Below are 12,644 nucleotides of genomic sequence, written 5' to 3' on the forward strand. Positions count from 1 at the left end.
GGGGTTTTAAGACTATCAATCTATTTCACATCAAGAACAAAGCCATTCAGATAAAAATCTAGCAAACAATTCTATTTTTTCCCATTGAAGACATTTTTATTTTCTGTTTAAGGATCCCTTCTCAGGCCTAAAAATGCTATGGGCTACATTTAAGGCAAGAGGAAATGAATATAATCCCACACAAATTTTCTAATAGCCCTTCTCTTAGCCTTGTTACATGACCTCTTAAGAATACTCATTCTTTTTCATTTCAACGTATGTTTCCAAAATTAATTCATTAAATATGAATTGCCATCCATCAGACTTTTATAATACTATACCAAGAGTGAAAATGTTGATCTTCATATTTTGACCTTTTTTCATGTTAATTCTTGATTCCAGAGGAAGAGCCTTTTTTTGATGATGTTAATTGCATTAAAACAAGTTTGATGTGAGTGTATATATGTTCAATCACATATGTATTGAGGATCTGTGACTTGTAGGAAGAATATTATACACATCATTTCATTCAATTTTCACAACACTTTGAAATAGATACTTTGTTCCTACTTAAGGGATGGGAGAAATGAGGTACCAAGTCCCTCTGTTAGTAGGTGGTGGAGCTTGGATTACAGGACACTTGGATTACTCTCTTTCTACTATGCACTCTTATAAGATGGGCTTGTTCTAGTGGAAATTTACATATCTCATATAGACACAGCAAAAAATATTATGTGTGAAGTGCAGTGCTACTTGATGGCGAGAAGTAGAAAATAGTTGACTTCTATCCATTATTTCCAAAGCCGATGTGTAGCTGAATTCAAAATCCATTACTGGCATGGTATATTCACTGTCAGATGGGAAGATATTGGCCATTAGTAAGGATAAATAATTTACCTGAGATTCCCTTGAGCACTCAAGGTCAGGGAAAATTTATAACTAATGTGTTGAGAGTTGCTCGGACTACTGAATTGCAAATAATCCTCTATTTACAGGCCATTTTACCCGCCTCTTCTGAGACTAATAGTAATTATTTTAAAAAGAAATCTAAATAATTCCCTTTTGGTGATTTTACTTAGTCTATCTTTCTTCTTTTTTGGTAAATCACTAAAATCTGAGTTCATAGTTCATAAATGAGGAAGCATCAATATCTGTGGCCTTAAGAATGTGCTTATTCCTTTTTTCATGGCTCTCATCAGTCTCTTTTTGAGGACGGCTCAGTCACTCAATGCTTAAAATGGCTAGATGACCATTTTAAACGTTTTACCATGGGTCTTAGAGAGGATGTCACCTCAAATGATCTATGGACTATGAGCCTATTCCTATTACTCACTCCTTAGATAGTGAGGGGAACCAGGAGGTGTTTCCTCTCAGGAGCTTTACAGACAATGTGGCTTCAGGGTGTTTCTTTATAAAATGTAGAGGTAACTAGGAAGAGGGCCCAATGGAAGCACACTCCTTTGATATGGTGCTTGACAAACACATTTAAGAAAACCTAAGAGAATTGAGCAGGTGGCTGTGGGCTAGAATACTAGATGCAGGTGGGGTAAAAATAAAACCACAGATGGTTTATAAAGGTGACTCATCCTTCCCCCACCGTAACTCCTTTAGTTTTCTTTTCTTTCTTTTTATAAAACATTTTGATTGTGACATCTCCACTAAAAGTGCCCAATCTCTAAATTCTTCTAGTCAAGGCAAGAAGGTTATACCACAGGAAATCCATTTCTACAGTCTCTTCTCATTGCCATATCTGATTTTAAAGACTTTTTTTTCTAATGTGGAAATTTTTGCATGGCTCTCCCCCACCCCCCAAACACGGATTTTATACCCCCCCAGAAGCAAACTTTTCTTGAAAACGAGATAAACAGATCACACGCCGAAATAAACAAATACACTGCACCAGAATATCATACTTGCCTTCTATCACTTAAAACAGATCCAGGGGACACAAGCATAGCACACACCTTGTGCATGCGGCTGGCCTGCACAGGGGGTGGTTGGAATATCCGGTAATTAGTTTTACATGAAACTTTACTTACGGAATTGGCCTGCATATATACAGTCATCACCGTCTTTGCCGAATTAGAGACGACATATTTTACTCTGTGAACAGGCCAGTCTCCACTCACTGGATGTTTGGGGTCAAGGAGGAGTAACCTGAACCTCTCGTTGGCTTTGATGTTTGGAGTCGAACATCCGCACTGCTCATCGAAGACCCCCGTGCTTCAGTTCCCTCTGTCTTCCATTTCCCCCGCCCATGGTTCTCGCCCCCCCAAGCCGTTCTCCGGAACCCCTTGCCGGGCCGGCGGGAAGCGTGGACGGAGCGGGCCTTGGCCGCGTCTTTTCCGGCCAGGTTTGGTTTAGCTCGCGCAGCGCCCGCGCAGCCCGCCAGGGGGACCCCGGCCCGCCGGGCGGCATCTGAGGAGAAAGCGTCCGAGGGGCGTGGAGCCAGGGTCCTGCGGTGCCTGCTCCGGGAATACTGCGAGTCGGCTGGAGCTCCCCAGCCGCTCCGGAGAACTGGGGGAGCCGGGTCCCTGGCTCGGTAACCGGTGGTCCCGCGGTAGCTAGAGGCGGGCCCCACGGGTGGGTGTGTCCGTTTCCGCACGCCAGCCTTCCAGCCCGGGAAGAGCGCCTGCAAGCGGGTACTTTGTTCCCAAAGATGGGTTTTGTCTGCGGGTGATTTGGGCTCTCGAAGTGCAACTTTGTGGCCGGGACGCGGATCGGCCGGCCTGGGCTCCTGCAGAGCAGATCCTGTCTGCGTCCTCCAGGAGGAGTGGGTGGCAGGACTGGGGTTTCCCACAGGTTTTGGGGCGGCGGCGAGATTGGCACGGTCCGGGGTCGCAGGCGCGCAGCCACGCCCCTGGAAGTCCGCCCCGGCCCCCGCCCCCAACCCGCCTCTTCGGGGCTTTATGGCGTGAGGTTTGGGGCTGGGATCCATCTGGAGCCGAGCAGAAAACTTTTCCCCTCCCGTTCCCGGTCCCTTTTGTCTTTCTTGGACGCGGTGGCGGCGCCGCCTGAGCGGCGACTCCCTCTCCCCTGCCCGGCTTGCTGCGCCCGGTGCCCTCCGAGGGCAGGCGCGCCTGGACTCTGCGCCCGGATGGCGGCGGCCCTCTGTGAGCACCGGCAGCGGCGCATCCCCTGCCCCGAGGCCTCCGGTGCCCCCCCGGCGCGGGCATAGGGGCGCCCCCACCCTCCGTCCGCTTGCACCCCTTGCCACCCGCCCCCTCGCCTGACTCATCCGCCCGCGGTGGCCGCCCGAGCCCTGGGATGGGGAGGGAGACCGCGGCTGCCCGCGGCGGCCGAGATTCCCGCTGACGCCCCCGACCCTGCCGCCTTCTTCGTCCGCCTCCAGAGGCGCCCGACGTCCCGACAGCTCCTGGAGTGAGACCAGGACTGAGAACAGGGAGAGGCGACCCGACCCCCAGGGCCCGGTGCTCAGGACAGGTGAGGGGAAGGAAAGGGTGCTGACGGGAGTGGGGAGGTGGGTGGGCGGCCACCGCAGCCGAAACCGGGCACTTCTTCAGCCCTCTGCCCTCCCCTCCCCTCCGCTACAGCCTCCAGAGTTAGGTAAACGCTGTCTCTCCTAAAGTTTGGGAAATAAACCAAGTCCGCCATCAGGTCCAGACTCCCCAGTCCCGGGAGCGCGAGAGAAGCCGTGCGGGGCAGCCTCCAAGAACCCGGAGTACTGGAGCGCCTGGCTGGGTTTCTCCAAGCAACACCCTCCTTTGTCTCGGTTCCTGAGAGTCAGCATTCTCTGTAATGTCCACAGCGTTAATTCATGATTGAGCAAAGTATGGTCAGGGTTTCGTAAAGCAGTATCTGGATGGGGTAGAATCTACACAGGCAAAATGGAGAGGCAAAGCAATTATTTGCAAAATTCAGCACTACTCTTCTCCCTGTAGTCTTGTCTGTAAGAGAAAGGACTGAGGGCTTCTAAGATTTGCTTCATTAATCATTCTTTTGCTATAAATTGTTCCAGCCAACACTTCACATTGTGTAGGCGCAAGCTCTCTGTGTGTATTTACCGCTGTTTGATTTAGAAAAATGTGTGTGTGTTTGTGTGTTTTTTTTAAATAACAATTCATTGTTCAGTACCGGGCATTGGTAATGTCGGAGAGAAAGGCAGATGCAGCACATACAGGTAATTGACTAATTGGAATCAGCCTTAGTCCGGTCCACCTTAGTCTGGTGTATTTAAAAACTAAATATGTTGGACTAAAGTGTCTCTTGCCTTGTCTCTTCTGAATACCTTCAGAAGTAGTTATGGACAACTGCATAGAAAACATTTCAAGAATCGATGATTATTCTTGTTTATAAGAAAGAATATTGAACTCTCGGTTTTGCAATCAAACCAAGTTTGAGGCACACTTTCTATAGTGCTGTATGCATAAATATTACCAGAGCTTGTGAAAGCTATTTACTTTGTCGTTTCTTGAATTATGGAACACTTATAAAAAGACCTTCAATTTGTTATTTGGCTACTGATACTAGAAAGCATTATCATTTTGTGAAAAGTAGACTAAATTTTGAAACTTTTTAAACCTTACTTTATTTTCCCACTGTTTACCTACACAGAAGTATGTAGTTGTAGTTTCATTCTTTATAAACACCTCAAGTGAAGAATAGAAGTCCTTCTAAACAGAAAATAATGCTTCCATTAAGTGGAAACTATAGTTAAATGCTTTGACAATTTAACAGTATGATTTTTTTACTGTAAAAAACACACACTGAGGTGTTTAGAATGATTTTTTAACCAAGTCCTACTAGATAGCTCATAATTATGAGATAATGTAACTATAATTTGTAACCCTGGTTATAATTAGCTTTGTATCTGGGCTGGGAAAGCCTTCATTAGAGTTGTATGGAAAGTCCCTGTAGGTAAATTCCAGGCAGTTAGCACAGAAAGGCTTCACCTGTTGCCTTTGAGGCAGGTCTAGGTAAATGCTGTAGTGTCTGAAGACACCCGTAATCAGAAGGGATTCTTCAGGAAAGATCATTGTAAAGAGGGATGGCTGTACTTGTTATTTTAACTTAGTGGAATTTTTAGTGAAGCTTTTGAATACTACAGGAGTTAGATTGTTATATTTGGACTTGTGTAGCTTCAGAATTTTGACAATAGCTCATTGGCCAGAAAAGGATAACTACTGACATATAGAGGGAACGGATCTGAACTGATTGGTTAAATGCTGTACTTCTCATGATGACTCTTAGCATAAAGGAAAGAAATTCATATTTAGCTTAGGAAGATAGATAAGAACAAAGATAAAAGCAAATGTCAACTTTTACATTTCTTAAGCAAAATTAGTAGAGGATAAAAAATAAGCCCTTGTAGTCATACACGTTACTTATCAAATAGAGGGTAGAATTTAAAAGAGGAAAAATAACTTGTGCAGCAACAGAAATCCAAACCTGCAATGAGATGGACCTCATTTTATTAAGGAATGTATATCTGATTTACAGTTTTATCAAGCAGATCCACTTGTTCCTGGACTTACGCTATGTTTTGTCTGCTGAGATCTGATATGTGCTCAAACACTCAGAAAACATCAGTGAGTGCTTATTGTGGTGTCATGCTAGCTACCCTTCCAGGCCTTTTCTATGGGCTTATAGGCTGATGGAGAGGGGACTGATAAATGTACCACAGATCACCTGGCAGCTGAGGTGGTCTGAGAGCAGCAGGGGACCAGTGCAGACTGGGAAGCAGCATAGTGGGTTGCAGAGGGACCTGGATGGGGAGTTGTCATCTTGACTGAGTCACTAATTAGGTGGCTGTGGGTAAGTGGCTAAGTTCCTCCACCTTTCTGCTCCTTGGTGCCCTTATCTGCAGAATGAGGGCTTTGGACTGACGATCTTTATGGTCTCTCTTTAAAATGCTGCAAGGCAAATTCTGGCAGAATTAAAGAGAGACAGAAGTCAGTGTGTGTGTGTAGGAGGGTGGTTTGTAGGGTTTTGGTTGAAGGAAGCCAGGCTGGAGGGTCTTGCTAGTTGTATTGAATGGGAAATGGCAAAGAGAAGTAAAAGATGTCTGGCCTGGGACATCTGACCTAACATTGATTATGTGAATTGAAAATACATAATAAAATAATAAAAATACCAGCTTTCACTTAGTACTGGGTGGTTTTCCATGAATTTTCACAAATGATGCAATAGATTTTTGTAACAACCCTCGGAAGTAATTAGAGCAGAAAGGTGATGAAGCTGGGACTAATACTGCAAAGCACATCTGCACCAGTATGCGCCACTGCCTTTCTGCAGGATTTGTAGAGATAGGAGAAGCTAAAGCTCACTTTGGAAACCCTGAGTAAACAGGAGAGAGACATAAGGTTAGGGTCAGATTTTAGGTGAGGTTGAATTTCTGCGTAAGAATTTAGGTTACATTCTGGAACACAGAAGTCTCCAATTACGAGCTCAAGACTTCCTGAAATGCCTTGAATTCTGATTATTGATGTTTAATCTTACTGCTCCTGTTCTGTGCCCACTCCTCCTCTAAGGTCCCCCTTTCCCCAGCAGGAATTCTGGGGCTTTGACTATCACAGAGTAATTGATATGACTCTTCCAAGAGCTTTTAGTGATGCTGGAAAAAGGAAATCCATGCATTTCATATAAAGGCGAGGATTCTGGGGCCACTGTATCATTAATTGATAGGATGTGTTCTGCAAGTTGTGCTTTGGAAACTTTGTCACCAGAGGTGAAATTCCACAGAAGGCATAGAAATCTAGAAAGGTGTAAGATGAGTGTCTGTACATTCCTTCCTGTAGAGCCCTAATCACTCTGCTCTGAGCATGAAGTGCACCAAGGGGGGACAAGTCTCTGCTTACCACCCAACTGTGTGTTCACCACCCCACTTTGTGTTCATGTAGAAGGGAGTTACTCAGGATTCATTTGCTTGCATGTGTGAATATTTAACTAGGTAAAGCAAAAAAGGACTTACTGGCTCATTGGACCAGAAAGTCCAAAGGTGGTCCTTGCTTCAATCATGGCTGGAACTCAGAGACTTACACAACTTTGTCGAGGTTCTTTCTCTCTCTCCCCATTTCTCAGTCCCACTTCTCTCTGGGTCAGCTGTATTCTGAGGCACTCTTTCTGGATATGGAGAAAGATGACTGTGGGTATTTCTAAACCTACATTCCTGGGCTTTTCATCTATGAGAAAAAGAGGTCCTTTCTCTTCCAGGTCCCATTTTTATAAATCTCCTTGAAGGGCTCTGATTGGCCCTGCTCAGTGGTAATTGAATTGGTCTCTGTGTCTAGCAGAGAGTGCTACTCTGATTGTATTGGACTAAATCATGTGCCCAACCCTGTGTATATGTGGTTCTGGTGCTGGGATGAGGAGGAGGAGGCTGGTAGGGCACTATGATAGGCAGTTCTGTCAAGATTACATAGAGTTGTGGTTCTCCCAAGAAAATAATGCTGCCAATCAAAAACAATAGTCTATTATTGGGAATAATTCCTTCCTTTTTTGGGACAGCCCTCTGCACAATGATCTGGAGTTTGCACATGGAAGCAACTCAGGTGCCCAAGACAATGCGTATCCCAAAAGTGGGACCTTTCTCCCAAGCAAGGTATAGCCCAGTGATGAAATAATGCCCTCATGTTTAAACTTTATTAAAAGGAGGATTGTTTCCAGAATGGGAAACACCCATTCTGGAATGAATGGGAAGCCACCATTTATTCATATCTATGTACTTCTAGCAAATATCCCTGTGCCTTATTTCCAGCCCAGAGATTTTGTTTCCAAAAGCCCTGCCCATCTAGTGATGATGAGATTGGATACCCCCTACTTTGGCCATTGTAGAGCCAGTGAAAGTTTGAACAGGGAGCTGAAGTGATTAACACAGAACTATTGTTTATGCAAATACATTGGGTTGTTGGAAATGCACAGAGGGGAGTGGCAGGCACAGATTAGGATTTTCATTTAGGAGGCATAAGATGATAGGTTTCCAATTAGAGTAATGGCAGCAAGAATTTGTGAGCAATATTATGAAGTTCTTATGAGGTTATATGTCAGGATGAAGGAGCATCTTTGTTGACAGAAGCATTTGTGGAATGAAATAGGCCAGGAGGGAGTAGACTAGGAAGACATCCTGGGCCAGTAGGTGAAATGGCTATGCGTGGTAGATAGGTTAATAGCAAATAGATTGTGTAGACAGGAGGCCTGTGGTCACCATGAGTCCTAGGGGCATGTATAGAACTGACATTTACCAAGGATCTACTTAGTATGGTAGGTTCATGTTGCATACTTTAAAGTTATTATATTAATGTTTATATAAAGTCAGGGAGGTAAATAACTTACTGAAGGTTATGAGGCCATTAAGCAGTACAGCTGGAATTCAAACCCTGGCAGTCGGACATCAAAGCCTTGCTTTAACCACTATGCAAAACTACCTCTCAACCTCAAAGTCAAATTCACTGTATCAGGCCAAACTGAAGGACCAGCTAAAGGTTGGCCCTTCTGATAGGAAATGAGAGTGCCAGAATTCCAGGTCAAATAGAAGGCACAGAACAGAGGTTATTAGGGTGAAAGTGGATAACATTCATGCTCAGAGCCAACCTGGACAAGAATGTCAAGGTAAGACATTCTTGGAAAGGAAAGAATATCACATGCATCCATTCTGGATTTAGGGTTTGGGGTATAGCAAGGAAAGGGGATGGGAAAATTATCAGGCAGTTGAACAGATGGGCAGATCAATAGAACAACTGGAGTTTGATTGTTGACCTGAGAACAGGAACTCTACCATCTGCCATGGCTTTAAATATCCTTCCTGGTGTAAGTTGATAAGAATATGGAATGGGCAGCTCCTCAGAGGGAGACAGGATTTTATTAGTTGTCAGGCACTATCAGGGAAGGAGCTAACGTTTGTAAGGCCATGCGCCTTAGATACGTAAGCTCACTAAATCTTCATTATAATTCCAGAAGGGTAAATATTATGCCTCCCCACCATCGCCACTTTTCTTGAGCCAGGAAATGGAGGCTCAGAAGGTTAAGTGACTTGCCCGAGCTCCTGGAGCCAGACTGGAAAGTGAAAGAGCTGGCATGGAACCCAGATCTGTTGGAATCCAGACCTCTTCCTGGATCTTCAGGGAGTCATCCTGGTGCTAGCAGGACAAGGTCAATATCAAGTCTGAGAGATGGAAATGGGGAAATCAGGAGGGGCATATGGTTGTGAAGGAAGACAGTAAGCTAACTTTTAGACATCTGAGTGTGAGATAAGAGCAGACCGTCTGAAGAGAATTGTCCAGCAGGATTATATCTGGCTTTGGCAGAAAACTTAATAATCTAGTAGGTTTTTTCCCCTCAGTACAGGATCTCTATCATTATGCAGGGTAGATACGTCAGCAAGTCAGATGTTTGGAAGGCTTAATTTAAGTCACTGATTTCAGTTCAAGAGAAGGGACCTCTGCCAGCTGCCATGGCCTGAATTTACCTTTATACATACAGATACTCTGCCCTGAAATGTGAAAAAATGAGAAGTAGATACATATAGAGAGGGAGAGAGGACACTCGCTAGCACATGCTGAATGTAGCAGGTTCATGAAACACTCTAGTTACAAAGGTGTGTACTTGAGGATGCTCTAAATAAAATGAGTTACTAATAGAATGTGAGTGACATCATATCGTTCCCCAACAAATACAAGGCCAAATTTGTATCTGCTTAGGTGTGTGACTGGATGTGTGCGCAATTGACTGTGTATGTATGTACAACAAGAGGAAGGGGAATGAGAAGGTGTATAAAAATAGAAGTATTTATGAGAACCTTGTAGCCTATTCGGAGAGGTAAAACAACCATGTGTAAAACTTTTAGAACAACTCAATAGAATAATATGTAAACAAATGGTTACAATGCTTTGAAATAAAGCTGGTAGAGATATGCAAAGAATATTAGAGGCCTGTGACACAAAAGCAATGGTGAATAGGAGTAGGCTCTTTCTTGTAAATAGTGAGCTAATCACAGAGGTGCTGATAGATTAGCAACTGCTGGGGAGAAAAAAAAGTATTTTCCTTTTGAGAATCAACATCTTTGGGCTTAAATGCAGGATGAATCCAAAGAATCTCAGTACTGTCTCTAAGCTGAGGTTGGCATAGGAGAGACACAAATTTTGTTTCCCTTGGCAAAGTAAGTCAGATCGGCTTAGTGAACATACATGTGCAAGTATTTGCAATAAAATGGAGTTAGCATTTCTGAAGAGATGTTGTTAGATTTTCTAATCATAAAGGCGATACACACTCCCAATAAAAACCTTAGAAAAATACATTAAGTATAAAAAGTCAGGGAGAAAATTTGCCTGTAATCCTATGACCCAAAGGCACTCATAACATTTTGGCATTTTCTTTCTCCTTATTTTTAATGATTTTTTCCATAATGCTTAATAGTGTATTACAACCTACTCTGTTTGCTTAATCTTATGTCTTAATATTTTCCAACTTCTAGACAAGCTTTATTAATGTCAGTATAATATTGGATTATGTGGACATATCATAATTTATTAACTATTCCCTTAAAATTGAACTTTTAGGCCATTTCCAAATATTTGATATTATAAATGGCACTTTGATGAATCTTTCTTCAAATTTCAGAATCTGTTTTTTGTGCATAAGGGTTATAAATGCATTTATATTCCATTTTATATATGTTTATCAGATTACTTCTTTTAAAAAGATTCGTGGAACGATAATTCCTGGGTCAAAGGGTATGAAAATTTCAGGCTCTTGATACTTAATGCCAAACTGATTTTCAAATAACTGAAGTTATGACTGACAGTGCATGGAACTACCCTTCACATGCTCTCACTAGGTGATTGTTTTTATTTTTAAATTTAAAAAAGCCACCATTTTGAAAAAAAGAATAGTTTATGCTAACTGCTGATTTTGTTCCTTTGTTACCCAAATCTCCCTTTTAGAATGTAGACTATGTAAGATATTGTGATTCATTTCACTTTTAAAAATTTACTTATGTTTCTGAACATGCAGATAGGGGCCCATGATAGAAAAAAGTAGCTTGTGAATGATTTTTTGAAAGCCAGTGTTATACATATCCTGTTTGGGGACTCTTCAGACTCTGCTGTGGAACAGCCCGTGAGAGAAGTTGATTGATGTAGGATGAGAGCCCCTTTTTGCAGAGCTAAACCCCTGACAGCCCCGCCTCTGTAGCCTTGGATATTAGGTCCTAGTAGTCATGGAGTGTTCTAACTGCACTTTTCACTGGGGCTGTAACCCAAGTGAGAGCAGGCCTGTAACTGTTTTGTCCATGGCTATGTCCCTAGCAGATGACCTTAGACAAAGTTTTGCTGGGAGGTGGGATCTGAAAATGCCTGAGTTTTTGTTTTTGTTTTTGTTTTTGTTTTTTTTTTTTCAGACGGAGTCTCGCTCTGTCACCAGTCAGGCTGGAGTGCAGTGGCATGATCTGAGCTCACTGCAATCTCCGCCTCTCAGGTTCAAGCGATTTTCCTCCCTCAACCTCCCGAGTAGCTGGGATTACAGGGGCACACCACCACGCCAGGCTAATTTTTTGTTGTTGTTATTTTTAGTAGAGATGGAGTTTCACCATGTTGGCCAGGCTGGTCTCGAACTCCTGACCTCAGGTAATCCACCCACCTCAGCCTCCCAAAGTACTGGGATTACAAGTGTGAGCAACCTCACCTGGCCATGAAAATGCTTGAGATTTTTCCCCTAGAAAACTTCTATAATGTTAGTCACTGATTGCCCAGAAACAAACTTCCTGAATTTTGAAACTTCTGGTTTTACTCTCTTTTCCAAAGAAAATTCAACCACATCACAGTACCTAGTTTTATGGCAATGAACTTTGACTTATTCCAGAAGAGGAATTTGGATCTTACACATACCTCTGCAGGGTATTTTATTGTCTAAAAACACTTACTGAGAGTAAAGGGAACTATTAAACTTACAGTAGCAGTCAATTTGAGGTGGTTTTTGAGTGCCAATTTCAATTTTTCCACAACTATTATATTCCTACAAAAATAATTTACAACTAAAATAAAAAATGTTTTGGTTTTCTTCTAAAAGTTGAAGGATATTATTCTATTGTAATAACTCTATTCTCCTTTATGGATCTCAGTCAGTAATTTTGAACAAAATTATTTTCGTTCATTTGTTCAACAAATGATTATTTAGAGAGATTCATTCAGCAGGTGCTGTTAAATTATATTATGACTCATTTTGTCAAATATGAGACAGATCTTCTTACACAACAATAACGCAGAACACTGTGTAGGAATTTATGCCTATACATTTATTTACTTACTTATAAGACACATAAAATCTCTTATAACATGCGTTAAAAAGTAAACTTGGCTCAGGAGAAGGTTTATTAATTAATAAAGGATTCATTAAATATTTGTGCTGCCAGCTGGGGATCCAGTAATGACCAAAACAAAAAGTTATGGAGGAGCTTACATTGTAAATGGAGGACACAAACAGGAAACATATAAATGAGCAAGGCAATTTCAGGCATTCAAAAAGTGCTGTAAGGGAAGTCAAGAAATCTGATGTCATAGAGAGTGCATGCGCTCATTTAGATCAGATGGTCAAGGAAGACCTCTCTGCATTTGAGGCATTTAAGCTACAACCTGCGAGAGAATGAGGAGCCAGCCTCACATATTTGGGGAGGGGGCATTGGAGTAGGTTTTATACTCAGTGCACTGGAAAGC

General features: G+C 42.7%; 2 protein-coding genes across 11 annotated transcripts in view, besides 1 other annotated feature; one reads left to right on the top strand and one right to left on the bottom strand.

Moving 5' to 3' along the window:
* SAMD3 (sterile alpha motif domain containing 3) overlaps positions 1-2,767 on the bottom strand; it is a 223,117-nt gene extending 220,350 nt beyond the window's left edge. For all 3 annotated transcript variants that reach the window (XM_047418239.1, XM_024446335.2, NM_001258275.3), the window contains exon 1: positions 2,019-2,767. The gene's annotated coding sequence lies outside the window, so the exon portion shown is untranslated. The remainder of the gene's footprint in view (positions 1-2,018) is intronic.
* Positions 2,350-2,449: a silencer, noted in NCBI's record as "silent region_17539". NCBI's record gives its function as "represses an Ori minimal core promoter by ATAC-STARR-seq in GM12878 lymphoblastoid cells {active_cell/tissue: GM12878}" and the evidence as "EXISTENCE:reporter gene assay evidence [ECO:0000049][PMID:35858748]".
* Positions 2,430-12,644, top strand: part of TMEM200A (transmembrane protein 200A) — a 77,537-nt gene continuing 67,322 nt past the window's right edge. For 3 of the 8 annotated variants that reach the window (XM_005266816.4, XM_047418151.1, XM_047418155.1), the window contains exons 1-2: positions 2,430-2,621; positions 3,332-3,423. The gene's annotated coding sequence lies outside the window, so the exon portion shown is untranslated. Of the gene's footprint in view, positions 2,622-2,915; positions 3,424-12,644 lie in introns of those variants that run through there. The other 5 variants (XM_047418153.1, NM_001258277.2, NM_001258276.2 and 2 more) reach the window with 2 other exon arrangements.

The sequence above is a fragment of the Homo sapiens genome, chromosome 6, assembly GCF_000001405.40.
Source record: "Homo sapiens chromosome 6, GRCh38.p14 Primary Assembly".
Classification (NCBI taxonomy): domain Eukaryota; kingdom Metazoa; phylum Chordata; class Mammalia; order Primates; family Hominidae; genus Homo; species Homo sapiens.